At 46.1% G+C, this 23,745-nt stretch overlaps 1 protein-coding gene across 15 annotated transcripts in view, besides 3 other annotated features; it reads left to right on the top strand.

The window, feature by feature from the left end:
- Positions 1 to 23,745, top strand: part of CPAMD8 (C3 and PZP like alpha-2-macroglobulin domain containing 8) — a 133,860-nt gene that overhangs the window by 55,724 nt on the left and 54,391 nt on the right. For 14 of the 15 annotated variants that reach the window (XM_011527917.2, XM_047438612.1, XM_011527922.2 and 11 more), the window contains 3 exons: positions 54 to 196; positions 13,172 to 13,234; positions 18,887 to 19,118. In XM_011527917.2, coding sequence (XP_011526219.1) covers positions 54 to 196; positions 13,172 to 13,234; positions 18,887 to 19,118 — 438 coding nt within the window. Of the gene's footprint in view, positions 1 to 53; positions 197 to 13,171; positions 13,538 to 18,886; positions 19,119 to 23,745 lie in introns of those variants that run through there. The other variant, NR_165644.1, reaches the window with a different exon arrangement.
- Positions 9,189 to 9,746: an enhancer, noted in NCBI's record as "H3K27ac-H3K4me1 hESC enhancer chr19:17072151-17072708 (GRCh37/hg19 assembly coordinates)". NCBI's record gives its function as "activates a minimal SCP1, AML or CMV promoter by ChIP-STARR-seq in primed H9 embryonic stem cells {active_cell/tissue: H9 hESC(primed)}" and the evidence as "EXISTENCE:reporter gene assay evidence [ECO:0000049][PMID:30033119]".
- Positions 9,747 to 10,306: an enhancer, noted in NCBI's record as "H3K27ac-H3K4me1 hESC enhancer chr19:17071591-17072150 (GRCh37/hg19 assembly coordinates)". NCBI's record gives its function as "activates a minimal SCP1, AML or CMV promoter by ChIP-STARR-seq in primed H9 embryonic stem cells {active_cell/tissue: H9 hESC(primed)}" and the evidence as "EXISTENCE:reporter gene assay evidence [ECO:0000049][PMID:30033119]".
- Positions 18,813 to 19,376: an enhancer, noted in NCBI's record as "H3K27ac-H3K4me1 hESC enhancer chr19:17062521-17063084 (GRCh37/hg19 assembly coordinates)". NCBI's record gives its function as "activates a minimal SCP1, AML or CMV promoter by ChIP-STARR-seq in naive H9 embryonic stem cells {active_cell/tissue: H9 hESC(naive)}" and the evidence as "EXISTENCE:reporter gene assay evidence [ECO:0000049][PMID:30033119]".

Here is a 23,745-nt window from a genome sequence, read left to right as displayed (position 1 = left end):
GGCTGTCAGCATCCACTTCCCCACCAATGGTTTGGGTGTTGTCTGTTGCCTAGGAAACGGGACTGGTGGTGATGACCGACCGAGTGAGCCTGAACCACCGGCAGGACGGTGGCCTCTACACCGATGAGGCTGTCCCCGCTTTCCAGCCCCACACAGGGAGCCTGGTGGCAGTGGCTCCTTCCAGGCACCCCCCCAGGTAACGGCTTATACATTGAGCAAGGTTTTCTAACCCTGGTCCTATTAACATCTGGGGCTTGTCTTTGTCCTTCCTGGCTGCTATAACAGAAGACCATAGACCGAGTGGCTTATAAACAACTGAAATTTATTTCACATGGTTCTTGGGGCTTGGAAGTCCAAGAACAGGGCACCAGCTGATTGGGTGTCTGGTGAGGGCTCACTTCCTGCTTCATTGATGGTGCCCTCTGGCTTCTTGCTGTATCCTCATATGGCAGAAGGAGTGAGGGAGCTCTCTGGAGCCTTTTTTTTTTTGAGATGGAGTCTCACTCAATCTGTCCCCCAGGCTGTGTGACCACACCCCCAGTGGTGTGATCTTGGCTCCCTGCAACCTCCACCTCCCAGGTTCAAGTGATTCTCCTGCCTCAGCCTCCTGAGTAGCTGGGATTACAGGCATGCCACCATGCCTGTCTAATTTTCGTATTTTTAGTAGAGACAGGGTTTCACCATGTTGGCCAGGCTGGTCATGAACTCCTGGCCTCAAGTGATTTGCCTGCCGCAGCCTCTCAAAGTGCTGGGATTACAGGTGTGAGTCACTGTACCTGGCCTGGAAGAAAATTTTAACTAAATAACAGGTGTCTTTCTCTCTTTCTTTCTTTTTTTTTTTTTTTTTTGAGACAGAGTCTTGCTCTGTCTCCCAGGCTGGAGTGCAGTAGTGCGATCTCAGCTCACTGCAAGCTCCGCCTCCCAGGTTCACGCCATTCTCCTGCCTCAGCCTCCTGAGTAGCTGAGACTATAGGCGCCCGCCACACCCCGCTAATTTTTTTTTTTTTTGTATTTTTAGTAGAGACGGGGTTTCACTGTGTTAGCCAGGATGGTCTCGATCTCCTGACCTTGTGATTCGCCCACCTTGGCTTCCCAAAGTGCTGGGATTACAGGCATGAGCCACTGCGCCTGGCAATAATAGGTGTTTTTAAAGTATAATATTAACAACTGCTATTAGTAAGTTTTTCGTTGTTTTTGTTTTTTTTTTTTTTTTGAGATGGAGCCTGGCTCTGTTGCCCAGGCTGGAGTGCAGTGGTACGAGCTTGGCTCACTGCAACCTCCACCTCCCAGATTCAAGTGATTCTCCTGCCTCAGCCTCCTGAGTAGCTGGGATTACATGCCACCATGCCCAGCTAATTTTTGTATTTTTAGTAGAGACAGGATTTCACCATGTTAGGCACACTGGTCTCAAACTCCTGGCCTCAAGTGATTTGCCTGCTGTGGCCTCTCAAAGTGCTGGGATTACAGGCGTGAGCCTCTGCACCCGGCCTAGAGTCCCTTTTATAAGGGCCCTAATCCCATTCATGAGCAATCCACTTTCATAACCTGATCATCTCCTAGAAGCTTCACCTCAACACCATCACCTCGGAGGTTAAGATTTGAACATATGAATTTTCAGGGGGATGCAAACATTGAGTCCATTGCAGGGTAGGATTATTCTGTGCACTGTGAGGGGTGTCCTCTGCACTGTAGAGTGTTGAGCAGCATCCCTGACCTCCACCCACTAGATGTCAGTCACACTCCTTCCCAGTTGTAACAACCAACAATATCTCCAGACATTGCCCAATGTTCCCTGGGGGCCATTGGCATAGCAGGCTAGGACACTGATTGCTTCATATACCTCCTCCCTACCCAATTCTTAGCCCTACCCCAGTGCACAAGATTAGGGATATGGAAGAGAGAAGAAAATGAATCAGGAGAGCTGACCTGTCTGAGGACAGAGGGATCTGGGCAGGGTGAGAACCTGGGGCTTGATCTCCCAACTCTCAGAGACTCTGTTTAGAGAGTTCTTTATTTTGTCCTTTCTCCTTCCTCTCATCCTTCCCTCCTCTTCCTTTTACTCTGTTTCTCCTTCTTCTCCAACTCTACCTTCATGAGTTGACACAAAGTAATTACTTTTCAGTCTTTCTCATCTTAAATATAAACACTTGGCTGGGCACAGTGGCTCATGCCTGTAACCCCAGCACTTTGGAAGGCCAAGGCAGGCAGATCACTTGAGCCTAGGAGTTTGAGACCAGCCTGGGCACATGGCAAAACCTTGTCTCTACACAAATACAAAAATTAACCATGTGTGGTGGCTCATGCCTGTAGTCCCAGCTACTTGGGAGGCTGAGACTGGAGGATTGCTTGAGCCTGGGAAGGTTGAGGCTGCAGTGAGCTGTGATTGTGCCACTGCACTCCAGCCTGAGTGACAGAGTGAGACTCTGTCTCTAATTTAAAAATAAATAAATAAATAAATAAAAACACTTAAGCCATTAGAGGATTATGAATTTTCCTCTGAGTACTGCTTTGGCTGCAGTCACATTGTGCTATGAAGTATTTCCAGTATTGCTCACTGCCAAATAGGTTCTAACTTTTGGAATGATGCCCATTTTGATGTATGACCTGTCCAGGAAACCTCTTGATTTGGTGGCCAGCCCTGATGAGCCTGTCCATGGAAGTGTTCTCCATCTTTCAAGCCCTCTCTATATAAAACAGGAACCTTCTTGTGCCCCTCCGTCTGCTCCCCAGTGGCTCCTGGATGCTTCAGTCCCCCAGGCTCTTCCTGCTGGGGCCACACGTTTAGCAGGCCTACAGGGTTCCTAGTTTCCCAACTCCTAATCGGGGAATTGGCAGATTAGGCTTCATACTGTAGTTTGGATACACATGGAAGCATTTCAAGATGTGATTGGATGAGGAAGATTGGAATGCTGGCCCCAGGGCCTCTGTCAGCTGGCAGCCACCCCAGAGGCCCTGACCCACTCACATGCATAACCCCTGAGAGCTTGTCCTGGGGCTGGTATAGAAGCAGCAGCTTTGTAAAACTCAAAACCATGAAGGCAATTGTAAATCACAATGGAGAAAGGCATAAGAAATGCCTTCAAAATCAAGTGCCCATGCTTTTTTGTAATTGGAACAAACACATCCTTATTCTGAGAGCAACATGTATATATATACACACATGTGTGTGTATATATGCACATATATACACACACATGTGTGTGTATATATGCACATATATACAAGTATATACACGCACATATGTGTGTATATATATACATATATATATATATTTTGGTGAGACAGAGTCTCACTCTGTTGCCCAGGCTGGAGTGTAGTGGCGCCATCTTGGCTTACTACAAGCTCTGCCTACCGGTTTCATGCCATTCTCCTGCCTCAGCCTCCCAAGTACCTGGGACTACAGGCACCCACCACCATGCCTGGCTAATTTTTGTTGTATTTTTTAGTAGAGACGGGGTTTCACCATGTTAGCCAGGATGGTCTCCATCTCCTGACCTCATGATCCGCCAGCCTTGGCCTCCCAAAGTGCTGGGATTACAGGCATGAGCCACTGCACCTGGCCATATATTTTTAATTATATATGTATTTTCTTTTTTTAAAAAATTATACTTTAAGTTCTAGGGTACATGTGCACAATGTGCAAGTTTGATAGGTATACATGTCCCATGTTGGTTTGCTGCACCCATCAACTCATCATTTACATTAGGTATTACTCCTAATGCTATCCCTCCCCCGGCCCCCCACCCCCCGACAGGCCCCAGAGTGTGATGTTCCCCGCCCTGTGTCCAGGTGTTCTCATTGTTCAGTTCCCACCTATGAGTGAGAACATGCAGTATTTGGTTTTCTGTCTTTGTGATAGTTTGCTGAGAATGATGGTTTCTGGCTTCATCCATGTCCCTGCAAAGGACATGAACGCATCCTTTTTTATGGCTGCATAGTATTCCATGGTGTATATGTGCCACATTTTCTTAATCCAGTCTATCATTGATGGACATTTGGGTTGGTTCCAAGTCTTTGCTATTGTGAATAGTGCCACAATAAACATACGTGTGCATGTGTCTTTATAGTAGCATAATTTATAATCCTTTGGGTATATATCCAGTAACGGGATTGCTGGGTGAAATGGTATTTCTAGTTCTAGATCCTTGAGGAATCGCCACACTGTCTTCCACAATGGTTGAACTAATTTACACTCCCACCAACAGTGTAAAAGCATTCCTATTTCTCCACATCCTCTCCAGCATTTGTTGTTTCCTGACTTTTTAATGATCGCCATTCTAATTGGCATGAGATGGTATCTCATTGTGGTTTTGATTTGCATTTCTCTGATGGCCAGTGATGATGAGCATTTTTTCATGTGTTGGATGCATAAATGTCTTCTTTTGAGAAATGTCTGTTCATATCCTTTGCCCACTTTTTGATGGGGTTGTTTGTTTTTTTCTTGTAAATTTGTTTGAGTTCTTTGTAGATTTTGGATATTAGCGCTTTGTCCGATGGGTAGATTGCAAAAATTTTCTCCCAATCTGTAGGTTGCCTGTTCACTCTGATGGTAGTTTCTTTTGCCATGCAGAAGCTCTTTAGTTTAATTAGATCCCATTTGTCTATTTTGGCTTTTGTTGCCATTGCTTTTGGTGTTTTAGTCGTGAAGTCTTTGCCCATGCCTATGTCTTGAATGGTATTGCCTAGGTTTTCTTCTACAGTTTTTATGGTTTTAGGTCTAACATTTAAGTCTTTAATCCATCTTGAATTAATTTTTGTATAAGATGTAAGGAAGGGATCCAGTTTCAGCTTTCTACATATGGCTACCCAGTTTTCCCAGCACCATTTATTAAATAGCGAATCCATTCCCCATTTCTTGTTTTTGTCAGGTTTGTCAAAGATCAGATGGTTGTAGATGCGTGGTGTTATTTCTGAGGCCTCTGTTCTGTTCCATTGGTCTATATATCTGTTTTGGTACCAGTACCATGCTGTTTTGGTTACTGTAGCCTTGTAGTATAGTTTGAACTCAGGTAGCGTGATGCCTCCCGCTTTGTTCTTTTTGCTTAGGATTGTCTTGGCAATGTGGGCTCTTTTTGGTTCCATATGAACTTTAAAGTAGTTTTTTCCAATTCTGTGAAGAAAGTCATTGGTAGCTTGATGGGGATGGCATTGAATCTATAAATTACCTTGGGCAGTATGGCCATTTTAACTATATTGATTCTTCCTATCCGTTAGCATGGAATGTTCTTCCATTTGTTTGTGTCCTCTTTTATTTCATTGAGCAGTGGTTTGTAGTTCTCCTTGAAGAGGTCCTTCACATCCCTTGTAAGTTGGATTCCTAGGTATTTTATTATCTTTGTAGCAATTGTGAATGGGATTTCACTCATGATTTGGCTCTCTGTTTGTCTGTTAATTGGTGTATAGGATTTTTGTGATTTTTGCACATTGATTTTGTATCCTGAGACTTTGCTGAAGTTGCATATCAGCTGAAGGAGGTTTTGGGCTGAGATGATGGGGTTTTCTAAATATACAATCATGTCATCTGCAAACAGGGACAATTTGACTTCCTCTTTTCCTGATTGAATACCCTTTATTTCCTTCTCTTACCTGATTGCCCTGGCCAGAACTTCCAACACTACGTTGAATAGGAGTGGTGAGAGAGGGCATCCTTGTCTTGTGCCAGTTTTCAAAGGGAATGCTTCCAGTTTTTGTCCATTCAGTATGATATTGGCTGTGGGTTTGTCATAAATAGCCCTTATTATTTTGAGATATATTCCATCAATACCTAGTTTATTGAGAGTTTTTAGCATGAAGGGCTGTTGAATTTTGTCGAAGACCTTTTTTTTTTGAGATGGAGTCTCACTCTGTCACCCAGGCTGGAGTGCAGTGGTGCGATATCGGCTCACTGCAAGCTCTGCCTCCCAGGTTCACACCATTCTCCTGCCTCAGCCTCCTGAGTAGCTGGGACTACAGGCGCCCGCCACTATGCCCGGCTAATTTTTTGTATTTTTAGTAGAGACAGGGTATCACCGTGTTAGCCAGGATGGTCTCGATCTCCTCACCTTGTGATCTGCCTGCCTCAGCCTCCCAAAGTGCTAGGATTACAGGCGTGAGCCACCGTGCCCAGCCCGAAGACCTTTTTTGCATCTATTGAGATGATCATGTGGTTTTTGTCAATGGTTCTGTCTATGTGATGGATTTCGTTTATTGATTTGTGTACGTTGAACCAGGCTTGCATCCCAGAGATGAAGCTGACTTGATCGTGGTGGATAAGAAGCTTTTTGATGTGCTGCTGGATTTTGTTTGCCAGTATTTTATTGAGGATTTTTGCATCGATGTTCATCAAGGATATTGGTCTAAAATTCTCTTTTTTTTGTTGTGTCTCTGCCAGGCTTTGGTATCAGGATGATGCTGGCCTCATAAAATGAGTTAGGGAGGATTCCTTCTTTTTCTTGATTAGAATAGTTTCAGAAGGAATGGTATCAGCTCCTCTTTGTACTTCTGGTGGAATTCAGCTGTGAATCCTTCTGGTCCTGGACTTTTTTTGGTTGGTAGGCTATTAATTATTGCCTCGATTTCAGAGCCTGTTATTGGTCTATTCAGAGATTCACGTTCTTCCTGGTTTAGTCTTGGGAGGGTGTATGTGTCCAGGAATTTATCCATTTCTTCTAGATTTTCTGGTTTATTTGCGTAGAGGTGTTTACAGTATTCTCTGATGGTAGTTTGTATTTCTGTGGGATCGGTGGTGATATCCCCTTTATCATTTTTTATTGCGTCTATTTGATTCTTCTCTCTTTTCTTCTTTATTAGTCTTGCTAGTGGTCTATCAATTTTGTTGATCTTTTCAAAAAACCAGCTCCTGGATTCATTGATTTTTTTGAAGGGTTTTTGTGTCTCTGTCTCTTTCAGTTCTGCTCTGACCTTAGTTATTTCTTGCCTTCTGCTAGCTTTTGAATTTGTTTGCTCTTGCTTCTCTAGTTCTTTTAATTGTGATGTTAGGGTGTCGATTTTAGATCTTTCCTGCTTTCTCTTGTGGGCATTTAGTGCTATAAATTTCCCTCTACACACTGCTTTAAATGTGTCCCAGAGATTCTGGTGTGTTGTGTCTTTGTTCTCATTGGTTTCAAAGAACATCTTTATTTCTGCCTTCATTCCGTTATTTACCCAGCAGTCATTCAGGAGCAGGTTGTTCAGTTTCCATGTGGTTGTGTGGTTTTGAGTGAGTTTCTTAATCCTGAGTTCTAATTTGATTGTGCTGTGGTCTGACAGTTTGTTGTGATTTCTGTTCTTTTACATTTGCTGAGGAGTGCTTTACTTCCAATTATGTGGTCAATTTCAGAATAAGTGTGATGTGATGCTGAGAAGAATGTATATTCTGTTGATTTAGGATGGAGAGTTCTGTAGATGTCTATTAGGTCTGCTTGGTGCAGAGCTGAGTTCAATTCCTGGATATCCTTGTTAACCTTCTGTCTCACTGATCTGTCTAATATTGATAGAGGGGTGTTAAAGTCTCCCATTAGTATTGTGTGGGAGTCTAAGTCTCTTTGTAGGTCTCTAAGGACTTGCTTTATGAATCTGGGTGCTCCTGTATTGCATGCATATACATTTAGGATAGTTAGCTCTTCTTGTTGAATTGATTCCTTTACCATTATGTAATGGCCTTCTTTGTCTCTTTTGATCTTTGTTGGTTTAAAGTCTGTTTTATCAGAGACTAGGATTGCAACCCCTGCCTTTTTTTGCTTTCCATTTGCTTGGTAGATCTTCCTCCATCCATTTATTTTGAGACTATGTGTGTCTCTGCACATGAGATGGGTCTCCTGAATACAGCACAATAATGGGTCTTGACTCTTTATCCAATTTGCCAGTCTGTGTCTTTTAATTGGGGCATTTAGCCCATTTACATTTAAGGTTAATATTGTTATGTGTGAATTTGATCCTGTCATTATGATATTAGCTGGTTATTTTGCCCATTAATTGATGCAGTTTCTTCATAGCATCAACGGTCTTTACAATCTGGCATATTTTTGCAGTGGCTGGTACTGGTTGTTCCTTTCTATGTTTAGTGCTTCCTTCAGGAGCTCTTGAAAGGCAGGCCTGGTGGTGACAAAATCTCTCAGCATTTGCTTGTCTGTAAAGGATTTTATTTCTCCTTCACTTATGAAGCTTAGTTTGGCCGGATATGAAATTCTGGATTGAGAATTCTTTTCTTTAAGAATGTTGAATATTGGCCCCCACTCTCTTCTGGCTTGTAGGGTTTCTGCCAAGAGATCTGCTGTTAGTCTGATGGGCTTCCCTTTGTGGTTAACCCGACCTTTCTCTCTGGCTGCTCTTAACATTTTTTCCTTCATTTCAACTTTGGTGAATCTGACAATTATGTGTCTTGGGGTTGCTCTTCCTGAGGAATATCTTTGTGGTGTTCTCTTTATTTCCTGAATTTGAATGTTGGCCTGCCTTGCTAGGTTGGGGAAGTTCTCCTGGATAATATCCTGCAGAGTGTTTTCCAACTTGGTTCCATTCTCCCCATCACTTTCAGGTACACCAATCAGACGTAGATTTGGTCTTTTCACATAGTCCCATATTTCTTGGAGACTTTGTTCATTTCTTTTTACTCTTTTTTCTCTAACCTTGTCTTTTTGCTTTATTTCATTAATTTAATCTTCAATCACTGATACCCTTTCTTCCACTTGATCGAATCGGCTATTGAAACTTGTGCCTGCGTCACAAAGTTCTCGTGCCATGGTTTTCAGCTCCATCAGGTCATTTAAGTTCTTCTCTATGCTGTTTATTCTAGTTAGCCATTCGTCTAACCTTTATTCAAGGTTTTTAGCTTCCTTGCGATGGGTTTGAACGTGCTCCTTTAGCTCAGAGAAGTTTGTTATTACCAACCTTCTGAAGCCTACTTCTGTCAATTTGTCAAAGTCATTCTCCGTCCAGCTTTGTTCCATTGCTGGCAAGGAGCTACTATCCTTTGGAGGAGAAGAGGCGCGCAGGTTTTTAGAATTATCAGCTTTTCTGCTCTTGTATCTCCCCATCTTTGTGGTTTTATCTACCTTTGGTCTTTGATGCTGGTAACCTACAGATGGGGCTTTGGTGTAGATGTCCTTTTTGTTGATGTTGATGCTATTCCTTTCTGTTTGTTAATTTTCCTTCTAACGTCAGGTCTCTCAGCTGCAGGTCTGTTGGAGTTTGGTGGAGGTCCACTCTAGACCCTGTCTGCCTGCGTATCACCAGTGGAGGCTGCAGAACAGCAAATATTGCAGAACAGCAAATATTGCTGCCTGATCCTTCCTCTGGAAGCTTCGTCTCAGAGGGGTACCCGCCTATATGAGGTGTTTGTCGGCCCCTCCTGGGAGGTGTCTCCCAGTTAGGCTACATGGGGGTCAGGGACCCACTTGAGGAGGCAGTCTGTCCGTTCTCAGAGCTGAAACGCCATGCTGGGAGAATGACTGCTGTCTTCAGAGCTGTCAGACAGGGACGTTTAAGTCTGCAGAAACTGTCTGCTGCCTTTTGTTCAGCCATGCCCTGCTCACAGAGGTGGAGTCTATAGAGGCAGTAGGCCTTGCTGAGCTGCAGTGGGCTCCGCCCAGTTTAAGCTTCCCAGCCACTTTGTTTACTTACTCCAGCCTCAGCAATGGTGGGCACCCCTCCCCCAACCAGGCTGCCACGTCGCAGTTCGATCTCAGACTGCTGTGCTAGCAGTGAGCAAGGCTCTGCGGGCGTGGGACCCGCCCAGCCAGGCATGGGAGAGAATCTCCTGGTCTGCTGGTTGCTAAGACCATGGGAAAAGCTCAGTATTTGGGCGAGAGTGTCCTGTTTTTCCAGGTACAGTCTATCCCGGCTTCCCTTGGCTAGGAAAGGGAAATCCCCTGACCCCTTGTGCTTCCCGGGTAAGGCGACACCCCGCCCTACTGCGGCTCATCCTTCATGGGCTGTACCCACTGTCCAACCAGTCCCAATGAGATGAACCAGGTACCTCAGTTGGAAATGCAGAAATCACCCATCTTCCGTGTCAATCACACTGGGAGCTACAGACTGGAGCTGTTCCTATTTGGCCATCTTGGAATAGCCCCAACATATTTTTTTAACCATGTAAATGTGGTTAACATTTTTTTCAAGCAGTAGAAGAGGATATATAATGAAATTTAAGTCTCCTTCCCACCCTCAGACCCTCCATTCCCTTCTTCAGAAGGGAAAGCTGAATAATTTTTTTTTTTTGAGGAGGAGTCTCACTCTGTTGCCCATGCTGGAGTGCAGTGATGGGATCTCAGCTCACTGCCTTCCATGTTCAAGTGATACTCCTGTCTCAGCCTCCTGAGTAGCTGGGATTACAGGCCTGCACCACCAAACCCGGCTAACTTTTGTATTTTTAGTAGAGAGGGGGTTTCACCATGTTGGCCAGGCTGGTCTTGAACTCCTGACCTCCAGTGATCCACCCACCTCAGTCTCCCGAAGTGCTGGGATTACAGGTGTGAGCCACTGTGCCCAGTCTGAATAATTTCTTAGATATTCTTCTGTGCATATGTAGGATTAAAAAAAAAAAGAATAGAAGAATACCATAATGTCATTTTGTACATTTCTTTTGAAAGTTAACAACAAGTCTTGGAAATCATTCCATATCAGTAAATGCATGTTTACCTCACTCTTTTTTTTTTTTACAAATATATAATAGTCCACCAATGAATATACTATCATTTGATTTTCCAGTCCTCCTAATGATGGAGATTTGGGCTATTTGCTAATTTTCCTAGTGCCACGATGAACCACTCCATCTCTCTGTGTTTGCACACACGTCTGCGGGTGTTTCCGGGGTCTGCTCCTAGGAGAGGTGTTGATGGTTGAAAGGATAGGAGCATTTTTATTTTTGCCAAATTTTGAGAAAGCCTTTTTTTTTTTTTTGAGAAAGGAGAAGGAGCAGCCTTTGAGGAGGGTGAACTGTGAGGCTTCTGAGGCTCAAACAAGAATGCATGAAGGCACTCCTTAGGAAACAGAGGATGGGTGAGCAGGAGGTGGAGAGTTCAGTGTGATGATGAAGATGAACGTGGTAAAACCCAGGGAGGGAAATTAGCAAAGGGAGGGATATAGGGTGGCCCCTGCAGGCCTTTATCCCTTCTGCATCCAGGAGAGGAGGCACGACTGTTTAAAGATGGACTCTGCCAAGCCTTTGATACCTTGCTTCTTCTATTCTTAAGTAGAATGTTAACGCTGCCAGGTAAAAGAGTTAACAAGTTACATCCTTGAGCAGACACTTTTCAAAGAAGATACACATGCAGGCCGGGCGTGGTGGCTTATGCCTGTAATACCACCACTTTGAGAGGCTGAGGTGGGTGGATCACAAGGTCAGGAGTTCGAGACCAGCCTGGCCAATATGGTGAAACCCCATCTCTACTAAAAATACAAAAATTAGCCGGACATGGTGGTGGACGCCTGTAATCCCAGCTACTCAGGAGGCTGAGGCAGGAGAATTGCTCGAACCTGGGAGGCGGAGGCTGCAGTGAACCGAGATTGTGCCATTGCACTCCAGTCTGGGCAACAGAGAGAGACTCCATCTCGAAAAAAAAAAAAGAAAATATACGTGCAGCCAACAAGCATATGAAAAAAACCTCAATGTCACTGAACTAGAGAAATGCAAATCAGGCCAGGCACAGTGGCCCACACCTGTAATCCCAGCACTTTGGGAGGCCGAGGCGGGTGGATCACTTGATGTCGGGAGTTTGAGACCAGCGTGGTCAACATGACAAAACCCCATCTCTACTAAAAATACAAAAATTAGCCGGGCGTGGTGGCACACCTGCAATTCCAGGTGTAATTCAGGAGGCTGAGGCATGAGAATCACTTGAACCTGGGAGGTGGAGGTTGCAGTGAGCAGAGATTGCACCACTGCACTCCAGCCTGGGTGACAGAGCAAGACTCCATCTCAAAAAAAAAAAAAAAGGGAAATGCAAATCAAAACCACAATGAGATGCCATCTCATGCCAGTCAGAATGGCCATTATTAAAGAGTCAACAAATAAGCTGAGTGTGGTGGCTCATGCCTGTAATTCCAGAACTTTGGGAGGCCGAGGCAGGTGGATCACCTGAGGTCAGGATTTTGAGACCAGCCTGACCAACATGGTGAAACTGCGTCTCTACTAAAAATACAAAATTAGCTGGGTGTAGTGGCAGGCGCCTGTAATCCTAGCTACTCGGGAGGCTGAGGCTGGAGAATCGTTTGAACCTGGGAGGCAGATGTTGCAGTGAGCTGAGATTGTGCCATTGCACTCCAGCCTGGGTGACAAGAAGGAAACTCCATCTCAAAAAAAAAAAAGAAAAAAAAAGTAAAAAAATAACAGATGTTGGTGAGGTAGTGGAGAAAAGGGGATGCTATGCATAGTTGATGGGAGTGTAAATTAGTTCAACCATTGTGGAAAGCAGTGTGGTGATTGCTCAAAGAACTAAAAACAGTACTACCATTTGAGCCAGCAATCCCATTACTGAGTATATACTCAAAGGAATATAAATCATTCTACCATAAAGACCCATGCACACAAATGTTCACTGCAGCACTATTTACAATAGCAAAGACCTGGAATCAACCTAAATGCTCATCAATGACAGATTGGATAAATAAAATGTGGTACAGAAATACCATGGAATACTATGCAGCCATAAAAAAGAACAAAATCATGTCTTTTGTGGAAACATGGATGGAGCTGGAGCCCATTATCCTTAGCAAACTAATGCAGGAACAGAAAACCAAATACTGCATGTTCTCACTTATAAGTGGAAGCTAAATGATGAGAACACATGGAAACAAAAGGGGGAACAGACACAGGTCTACTTGAGGATGGGGGATGGGAAGACAGAGAGGATCAGAAATAATAACTATTGGGCATAGGCTTAGTATCTGGGTGATGAAATAATCTGTACAACAAACCCCCATGACACACATTTACCTATGTAACAGACCTGCACATGTACTTCTGAACCTAAAATAAAGTTTTTAAAAAAACAAGTTATGTCCTAATCAAGTAGACTGTTAACCCTGCCAGGTAAGAGAATTAACATGTTATATCCCAGTGAAGTACAATGTTAACCCTTCCAGGTAAAAGAAATTAACGCGTTATATCTGATCAAATAGAATGCAAAGCTGCTAGGTTCACATAAGATTTGTTATGTTCATGAAACCTTAATCGTTTCTTTTTTTCTTTTCATAGAACAGAGAAGAGAAAAAGGACTTTCTTCCCCGAAACATGGATTTGGCATTGTCTCAACATCAGGTACATTAAGATTTCTTTTCTGCGCTGACTTTGCCGGTTGAGTGAAAGACACTCATGCGGGTCCAGAGAGCCTCCGGTGAGATGGGCAGGCCTGATACCAACATCTGAGCAAGACACTGTGCATCTTTTTCTAACACACAAAACTTCAAGCCATGAAGCCAGCCTTGAGTCCCGCTGCACATTTGGACGTTTGCCTGTGAAATATGAAATGCAAGGGCTTTGTGCCTCTTATAACTCCCTCTTGGGGTTACTCTATCTGCTCTGTTTGTATAACGAGCTCATTAAAATGATTACAGTTCCCTGGAACATGAACTTGACTCCACCTACCCCCACTCCTTGCTCCTCAGGGGACTACAGCTCTTGCTCAAAAAACAGGATGCCTTTCTCAACACATTTCCTTTCTGCATTTTTCCCCGTTTAGTTCTCTTTGAAGCAGGAGTGTAGGCAACCCTTTTCTGCTGGATGCAATTGACTTTTTTTCTTGCAATGCTCAGCGTTAGAGCACCAATGACACTAGTAAAAAGTGGCACTGGCGTGCCCCGGCAAACCAGTTTGGCATGAAAACTGACTCTTGGTCCAGCCCGGGCCAGCAGGTGGGCTGACTGCTGGAGCTGTGCCCTTCCTCCAGGCACAAGGTGCTGTGGCAAGTGCTTGGCAGAGCCAGGCACGCAGCTGGGGGCCCCTCAGACTGCTTTGGGGGATGTGTATGTCCTCATCGTGGGAAGGTTTGACTGCTGATCAGAACACATCCAGTTCACTGTGTTTTGTTCTGGGGGCCCAGCTGTAAGACAGGCTATCTGTCCATCATCATTCAAATGTATCTACTTTCTGGATGTCTGGTGAGCTTTTTTTATTGTTAAAAAATTTTTTCAATTAACTTTTATTAGGGCTGGGCATGGTAGCTCATGCCTGTAATCCCAGCACTTTGGGAGGCTGAGGCAGGTGGATCACGAGATCAGGAGATCGAGACCACCCTCTCTAACATGGTGAAACCCTGTCTCTACTAAAAACGCAAAAAATAGCTGGGCATGGTGGCGGGCGCCTGTAGTCCCAGCTACTCGGGAGGCTGAGGTAAGAGAGTGGCATGAACCTGGGAGACGGAGGTTGCAGTGAGCCAAGATGGCGCCACTGCTCTCCAGCCTGGGTGACAGAGCAAGACTCCGTCTCAAAAAAAAAAAAATATTTCATAGAGATGGGGTCTCTGTATGTTGCCCAGGCTGGTCTGAAACTCCTGGCCTCAAGTGATCTTCCTGTCTTGGCCTCTCAACGTGTTAGAATTACAGGTGTGAGCTACTGCTCCTGGCCCGGATGTTTTTGATGTTAAGGATGGTCCCTTGAATAAGGTAGACAGAGTCCCAGCACTCATAACATTTTCATTGTAGCTAGAGTAGACAGGTGCCTAAAGAGCCATCATGGTGCAGTGGGGTTAGTCTTCTGGAAGGCTGGGCATGGAGCTTGGGAGGCAGAGAAAGATGGTGGAATCCTTTGGAAAAGCCAGAGAGGGTCCTCAATGTAGGGCCCAAGCTGAGTCCCACCATATGAATAAGCAAGAAAGGGAAGGGTGTCCAGGAAGGACCAGCATGAGCAAGTGCTGCAAAGTAGGAGAGGCTGGTGGATTTCCACATGGTTGAAATGAGATGGAAGGAGCTGAGGAGGATGCAGGGAGTATGAGACCATGTGGGCTGTGGGGGTGGGGTTAGGGGTGCAGGTGTGGAGAGCCAGGGATTTGGGATTTAGGATTCGGGATGTTCTCTCTCCTCTCTTGTTGGCTGGAGCAAGGATGAATCAGAGGGGACAGATCTGAGACCAGGGAGGAGGTTCCTGCTGGACCCAAAAGAGGACTGGTCAACTCTCTTTTAAACCACACCCGTTTAAAGGCGGGGTGTGGTGGCTTATGCCTGTAATCCCAGCACTTTGAGAGGCTGAGGCAGGAGGATTGCTTGAGCCCAGGAGTTCAAGACCAGCCTGGGCAACATAGCAAGGCCCCATCTCTAAAAAAAATTTTTAAATTAGCCAGGTGTGGTGGCACATGCTTGTGGTCCTAGCTACTTGGGAAGCTGAAGTGGGAGGATCGCTTGAGCCCAGGAGGTTGAGGCTGCAGTGACACGAAATTACACCACTGCACTCCAGCCTGGGCTACAGAGTGAGACCCTGTCTCAAAAAGGGAAAATGATTCAAAAATGAATTGGTTTAAAAAATTATGGTGAAATACTCCACATAAAATTTACGATCTTAACCATTTTTAAGTGTATAGTTCAGTGGTATTAAGGACACTCACGTTATTGTGCCAACATCACCATCACCCATTTCTGTGACTCCTTTCATCTTACAAAACTGACACTCTGTCCCATTAAACACTCACTCCCCTCTCTTCCCTTCCCCCAGCCTTTGGTAACAACCCTTTCTGTCTCTGAGTTTGACTATTCTAGGGACCGCCTGTAAGTGGAATCATGTAGTATTTGTCGTTTTGTGACTGGCTTATTTCAACATGTCCCCAAGGTTCATCTTTGTTGGAGAATCCATGTCAGAATTTCCTTCTCTCTTTTTTTTTTTTTTCTTGAGATGGAGTCTTGCTCTGTCACCAGGCTGGAGTGCAGTGGCACAATCTCGGCTCACTGCAACCTCTGCCTCCAGGGTTCAAGTGATTCCTCTGCCTTAACCTTCCAAATAGCTGGGACTATAGGCATGCGCCACCATGCCCAGCTATTTTTGTGTGTTTGTGTGTGAGACAGCATCTTGCTCTGTTGCCCAGGCTGGAGTGCAGTGGTGCGATCTCGGCTCACTGCAAACTCTGCCTCCTGGGTTCACGCCATTCTCCTGCCTCAGCCTCCTGAGTAGCTGGGACCACAGCCGCCCACCACCATGCCCTGCTAATTTTTTGTATTTTTAGTAGAGACGGGGTTTCACCGTGTTACCCAGGATGGTATCGATCTCCTGACCTCGTGATCCGCCCGCCTCGGCCTCCCAAAGTGCTGGGATTGCAGGCATGAGCCACCGTGCCCAGCCAATGCCTAGCTAATTTTTTGTATTTTAGTAGAGATGGGGTTTCACCATGTTGACCAGGATGATCTCGATTTCCTGACCTCGTGATCCACCCCCCTCGGCCTCCCAAAGTGCTGGGATTACAGGCGTGAGCCACTGTACCCAGCCTCCTTCCCTTTTAAGGTTGAATAATATCCTATTGCATGGATTCCCTCATTTTGTTTATCCATTTATTTTCTGTCGATGGACCCTTGAGTTGCTTCCACCTTTTGGCTATTGTGAATAATGCTGTGAACAGGGGTATACAAATATCCCTTTGAGACCCTGCTTCCCATTCTTTTGGGTGTATACCCAGAAGTAGAATTGCTGAATCATGTGGTAATTTTATGTTTAATTTTTTAAGGAACCTCCAGACTAATTTCCACAGCAGCTGCAGCGTTTTACATTTCTACTAACAGTGTACCAGGGTTCCAATCTTACCACATCCTCAGAAACACTTGCTGTTCTCTTTTTCTTTCTTTTCTTTTTTTTTTTTTTTGAGATAGAGTCTCGCTCTGTCACCCAGGCAGGAGTGCAGTGGTGCAATCTCAGCTCACTGCACCCTCCGCCTCCCAGGTTCACACAATTCTCCTGCCTCAGCCTCCCAAATAGCTGGAACTACAGACACGCACCACCACACCTGGCTAATTTTCGTATTTTTAGTAGAGACGGGGTTTCACCCACTACTTCTGGGTGTATACCCAAAAGAATGGGAAGCAGGGTCTCAAAGGGATATTTGTATACCCATGTTCACAGCGTTATTCACAATGGCCAGACTCCTGACCTCAAGTGATCCACCCACCTCGGCCTCCCAAAGTGCTGGGATTATAGGTGTGAGCCACCATGCCCAGCCTTTTTTCTTGCCTTTTCTTTTTTAATATCCTAATTAAGTACATGAAGTGGCATCTCATTGTGGTTTTTATTTGCATTTCCCTAATGATTAGTGATGTTGAGCATCTTTCATGTATTTATCAGTCATTTGTCTATCTTCTTTGGTGAAATGTCTATTCAAGTAATTTGCCCATTTTTGAATCATGTTGCTGTTTTTGTTATTGAGTTTCAGGAGTTCTCTATATATTCTGGATATTATTTCCTTATCAGATATATGACTTGCAAATATTTTCTCCCACTGGGTTGACTTTTTACTCTGTTGATAGTGCCTTTTTTTTTTTTTTTTTTGAGACAAGGTCTCACTCTGTCACCCAGGTGTTCAAGTGATCCCCCAACCTCAGCCTCCCAAGTAGCTGGGTCTACAGGTACACACCACCACTCCTGGCTAAATTTTTTAATTTTTTGTAAAGATAGGGTCTTGCTGTGTTGCTCAGGCTGGTCTCAAACTCCTGGGCTCAAGTGATCCTCCTTCCTTGGCCTCCCAAAGTGCTGGGATTACAGGAGTAAGCTACCATGCCAGCCCTTGAATAGTGTCTTTTGATGCTCAAAATTTTGCAGTTTTCATAAAGTCCAACTTGTCTACTCTTTTTTTTTTTTTTTTGCTTGTACCTTTGTTTTCATATCCATGAAATCATTGTCAAACCCAATGTCATGAAGCTTTTGCCCTGTTTTCTTCTAAGAGTTTTATAGTTTTAGTTTTTACTTTCAAGTCATGGATTCATTTTGAGTTAACTTTTGTATATGGTGTTAGGTAAGGTCCAAATTCATTCTTTTGCATATGGATGTTTGCTTTTTCTAGCAGTATTTGTTAAAAAGATTGTCTTTTCCCTAAAGTATCTTGATGCCCTTGTCAAAAATCATTTATCTGTGTCGTCAAGGTTTATTCCTGGGCTCTCTATTTGATTCCATTGGTCTGTATGTCTGTCTTTATGCCAGTAACACATTGATTTGAATATGGTAGCTTTGTGGTAAGTTTTGAAGTGTGAGCTCTCCAGCTTTATTCTTCTGGTTTCTTTGTTTGGCCACCAGGATCCCTTGAGATCCATGTAAAATCTCAAGGTGGAGTTTTCTATTTCTGCAAAATAAAATAAAATAAAAAGTCATTGGGGTTTATGATAGGGGTTCCATTGAATCTATAGATCACTTTGGGTAGTTTTGACATTTTAACAAGTCTTTCCGATCCATGAACATGGGAAATGTTTTCATTTATTTATGTCTTTTTTTGTCTTTTTTAGTTTCTTTCAATAATATTTTTGTGTGTGTGTGACAGGGATCTCACTCTGTTGCTGAGGCTGGACTGCAGTGGCGGGATCACAGCTCACTGCACCCTCGACCACCTGGGCTCAAGTGAATCCCCCACTTCAGCCTCCTGAGTAGCTGGGCCTACAGGCATGTGTCACTATACCCACCTAATTTTTAAATTTTTTGTAGCAACACGGTCTCATCATCTTGCCTAGGGTGGTCCGGAACTCCTGGGCTCGGGCAGTCTCCCACCTCGGCCTCTCAGAGTGCTGGTATTACAGGCATGAGCCACTGCGCCCAGCCCATGTTTTCTATTAGAGTCAGGGCTGAGGGACAGTTTTTTTCCTGTTGCCGCTTTTGTGATGCCTTCAATGCTTGTTTCTAAGCTCCTAGGGTGCCTCTCTGAGCCATGCAGCCTGGGTCATCCATGCCCACTGGCCCCCCTGAGGCATGGCCCTGGAGAAGGGCCCCCCATCATGGCTGTCTGTCTCTCCGCAGTGACCCATCTGGTGAGGGGACACTCAGTGTGAAGGTCCCGGACTCCATCACCAGCTGGGTGGGTGAGGCCGTGGCCCTGTCCACCTCTCAGGGCTTAGGCATCGCCGAGCCCTCCCTGCTGAAGACCTTCAAGCCCTTCTTCGTGGACTTCATGCTCCCCGCTCTCATCATCCGTGGGGAGCAGGTCAAGATCCCGCTCAGTGTCTACAACTACATGGGCACCTGCGCTGAGGTACTCAGCCCCCCAAATACATAGCCTTCCTCCATTCAGTGGGGAGTTGGGACTGCATTGGTGCTATAAGGTAGGCAGGGGTGGGACAGTGTCAGCTTGGGGGATTTAGGAGGGCGAGAGCCTCTATGATGTTGAGGAGGCAGGGATGGGTGGGCTCAGCCTGGGGGGCTTTGGGGAGGATGCGTCATCTGTGCTGTCAGGGAGGCAGGAGTGGGATGAGATCAGCCTCTGATTCACCAACCGTCAAAGCCGGGTGAGGAGGAGGTGGGGACGCATGTGTGTGAGTGAGAGGGACTTGGTGTAAGTGGAGCTGTTGTCCCTGACTCCCTGGCCTAGCAAGGGCGTGCCTGGACTGGTATCATATATGATAGCATGGAGCTTTCTCTGTAAAGGGCCAGATAGGAAATATTTCTGTCTTTGCCAGCCACACAATCCCTGTGGCAGCGACTCAACTCAGCCCTTATAGCATAAAAGCAACCTAGATGATCTCTTACCTGAATAGATATGGCTGTGTTCCAATAAAACTTGATTTCTAGACACTGAAATCCGAACTCCATAGAATTTTCACCTGTCACAAAATAATCATTCTTCTTTTAATTTTTTTTCCTCCTAACCATTTGAAAAAGATGAAAACCATCTTTAGCTTGTGGGCCCAAAAGACAGGTGGTGGATCCGGTTTGGCCTATGGGTCTTAATTCACAGGCTCCCCACAAAGTACCAGGAAATCCTGGTGGTGAACAGAGAGGGTGCTTGGGATCCCGGTTTATACTCATAGAGCTGCTGATCTTGGGCACGTTATTCAATCTGTTGGTGTGTCGGAGCCTCGCTGGGCGTTAAAGGGTTAAATGAGTTAGTCTCAGTAGACACTGAGAACATTAAGCAGGGCTGTTTTTCGATGATATTATTGGGGTTCCAGTGTCTGCCAGAGGTGTGCAGTGAAGGCCAAAGCTCTCTCTTGGAGGCGGCAGGAAAGGCTGCTGTCCTAGTCTCCTTGGGCTAGTAAGGTAGCCCAAACCAGGTGGCTTAAAACAACAGAAATGTATTGTCCCACAGTTCACGAGAAGAAGTGTGAAGGCAAGGTGTCATCAGGGCTGGTCCCTTTTGGAGGCCCTGAGGGAGAATCTGTCTATGCCTTTCTTTCTCTCTCTTTCTCTTTTTTTTTTTTTTTTTTTTTTCGAGACAGGGTCTTACTCTATCACCCAGGCTGGAGCGCACTGGTACAATCACAGCTCACTGCAGCCTTGACCTCCTGGGCTCAAGCAATCCCCCCTCCTCAGCCTCTCAAGTAGATGGGACTACAGGTGTGCACCACCATGCCTGGCTAATTATTTTATTTTATTTTCGTAGAGATGGCATCTCCATATGTTGCTCAGGCTGGTCTTGAACTCCTGGCCTCAAGTGACCCTCCCACTTCGGCCTGCCAGAGTGCTGGGATTACAGGCATGAGCCACTGCATTTGGCCCCTCTCTCCCTGTCTCTTGGCTTCTGGTGGCTTGTGCCAGTATCAGAAGATCCCGTCATGCAGGATGTGAGATCCAAGCTCAACCTTGGAGCGAAGTGGTTTGTGTTTAGATCCCACTCACTCAGTTTTGGTGGGGCATGTACTTCTGCAGCTGGTGCTGGACTGACAATTTTACCTGCATTATTATTTATTTATTTATTTATTTATTTGAGATAGGATCTCGCTCTGTCACCCAGGCTGGAGTGCAGTGGCGTGATCTTGGCTCACTGCAACCTCCGCCTCCCGGGTTCAAGCGATTCTCCTGCCTCAGCCTCCTGAGTAGCTGGGATTACAGGCGCCCGCCACCACGCCTAGCTAATTTTTGTATTTTTAGTAGAGACGGGGTTTCACTATGTTGGCCAGGCTGGTCTCGAACTCCTGACCTTAAGCCATCTGCCTGCCGTGGCCTCCCAAAATGCTGGGATTACAGGCATGAGCCACCACGCCTGGCCACCTTCATCATTTTATCAAGCTCCTGTGTGGGCCAAGGAAGAAGGGTCTGTGATGGAATCATTCACCATTAGGAAGCTCAAAGAAGCATTGTCATGGGTTCAGGGGCCTCCAGGGAGTGAGTGGTGGAGCTGTGTGTTAGAATCAATGTCTACGGGTGCCGGGACAGCCCAGAAAAGGGGAAGTCCCCCTGAACCTGAGAGTCTGCAGGTGATGTTTGAGTCAGGCATCGGGGCGGGAAGGGCATTCGCAAAGAGGGAACAGCATGTACAAGCAACAGAAGCAGGAGGCAGCTTGACCTTTCCTGGGTCCTGCCTCAGACATAGTTTGGCTTGGCTTTGGGGTCTGGTCAGGGAAGATGGAAAAGCAGGTGAGGAGCAAGAGGACGAGGAGGTCAGAGGCTCCTGCCATTGTCTAGGCAAGAGGCAAGGAGGCAGGAAGCAACCAAGGCAGCGGTCACAGGGTGGCTTCGGTGAGGAGTAAATGGGAGATGTTAGACTCAGAATGGCCAGGTAGTGGTGCCCAGAATCCTAGCTTCAGTCCCAACCTTTACAATCCATCCTTTACCGTTCTTTTTATATGGATTATGGTTGGGAGGAATAGGATCTCGGTTTCCAAAAGAAAGCATACACACAGACTATGCCCTGACCTGTAGGTTGGCCCCTAAAGGGAGGTTTCCCTCTGAAACCTGTGAGCAGAATCCCCAGATGTCCGGCTTGGCTCTGAGCGCATGCTGGTGTCTAGCTTTTCCAGCAGGAAGAAGGAAGTCCTGCTGGGCAGTGTATGTGCTTAAGGACCACCCCAGCTTGTATGACCATCCCCAAGACAGAGAAAACATACCCATTCAGACCCTCCAGTGGGGAGCGCTGGTCATTTCACTCAGGACCTGGAAAATGGCTCATTGACACTGTTGAGTTTCTTTCTTTCTCCTTCCTTCCTCCCTTCCTTCCTCCCTCCCTCCCCCCCTCCCGTCCTTCCTTCCTTCTTTCTTTCTTTTCTTTCTTTCTTTTCTTTTCTCTCTCTTTCTTTCTTTTCTTTCTCCCTTCCCTTCCCCTCCCCCTCCCCTCCCCCCTCTGCTCCTCTCCCCTCCACTCCCCTTCCTTTCCCTTCCCTTCCCTTCCCTTCCCTTCCCTTCCCTTCCCTTCCCTTTCCTTTCCCTCCCTTCCCTTCTCTTCCCTTCTCCTCCCTTCCCTTCCCTTCCCCTCTCTTCCCCTCTCTTCCCCTCCCTTCCCCTCCTTTCCCGTCTTTTCTCCTCCTTACCCCTTCTTTCCTTTTCTTCTTCTTTTGATGGAGTCTCGCTCTGTTGCCCAGGCTGGAGTGCAGTGGTGTGATCTTGGCTTACTGCAACCTCCACCTCCTAGGTTCAAGGATTCCTCTGCCTCAGCCTCCTGAGTAGCTGGGATTACAGGTGCCCAGCACTACGCCTGGTCTTTAGTAGAGATGGGGTTTCCTCATGTTGGCCAAGCTGGTGTCAAACTCCTGACCTCAGGTGATCTGCCTGCCTCAGCCTCCCAAAGTGCTGGGATTACAGGTGTGAGCCACCGCACCCAGCCTCTTTCTTTCTTCCTGGGAAAATGCTACCTTGAGGGGGATGTGGGGATTCCTGATGTGCACCCTGCAGCAGCCATTGGCTCTCAGATCTAGCTGGGCCTTTCCTTTGTCAGGATTCAGGACTCTATCATGTATGCCACTTCACATTTTCCCCGCATGCTTCTCTCCACATCACACCTGCAGCCTCTGTGCCAGTCCTTGGGTGGGACAACATTCTGAGGCTCAGCAATCACTCATGTCTTGATCAGCCATTTCTTTAATTCCTAGCGGGGCACCCAGTAGGTGCTCCATATATGCTGGTTGGACAAATGGATGTGGAGCAAAGATTTCCTCTTAGATGGAGGGGTTGCAAACGTGCTTGCATATGCACCCACAATGCACATGCACACACCCTGCAAAATGCACACACATGCACACAGAGACCAGTATGTGTGAGCATGCACATGATGCACCCACACAAGTCATCATGGTATACATATGCACATGTACATGCATGATACATGTATACACATGCCATACTTGCACATCCATGCACAGACATGCACATGGAGTCCCATGGGTGCATCCATAGCACCTCTGTACCCATATAGGCACACACATGCATGCAGAAACTAGCATGCCCATACACACACACACGAATGCATATCCACATGCCTTCACCCGGTAGATGCACATGTGTGTACATGCATGCATGCACATGTGTATGCAGTCTGTGCTTGCATCCATGCACACAAGTGTGCACCCAGGGGACACATGCATTCACAGCACACACATGCACATGAATAAACACACACGTGCACACACAGAGCTGTACTCTGACATCATGGAGCTGCACGGTTGGAAAGAGGGTCAGGAGAGGCACTCTGTGGACCTGCTGTGGGAGAGGTTACATCCATCTGGAGTCCCGGAGTGGATGGACATGCAGGAGAGGCAGCCCTGGCTGGAACTGGCAGCTTCAGTCCATGGGAGATCTGGACCTGTGAGGATACGGAGGGCTGTGGGGAGGAGAGGTCTCACAGCAAGACAGATGGGCATGAGAAGGCCAAGTGGGGCACCAGACAGCAGAGGGTAGTTTGTTCTGATCGGAAATGGAAAGGGGACCTTCCCGGGGGGAGCATGGCTCTT

The sequence above is a fragment of the Homo sapiens genome, chromosome 19 (genome assembly GCF_000001405.40).
Source record: "Homo sapiens chromosome 19, GRCh38.p14 Primary Assembly".
NCBI lineage: Eukaryota > Metazoa > Chordata > Mammalia > Primates > Hominidae > Homo > Homo sapiens.
Note: the sequence above shows the minus strand (reverse complement) of the source record. Positions and strands in the feature narration are given on the sequence as shown.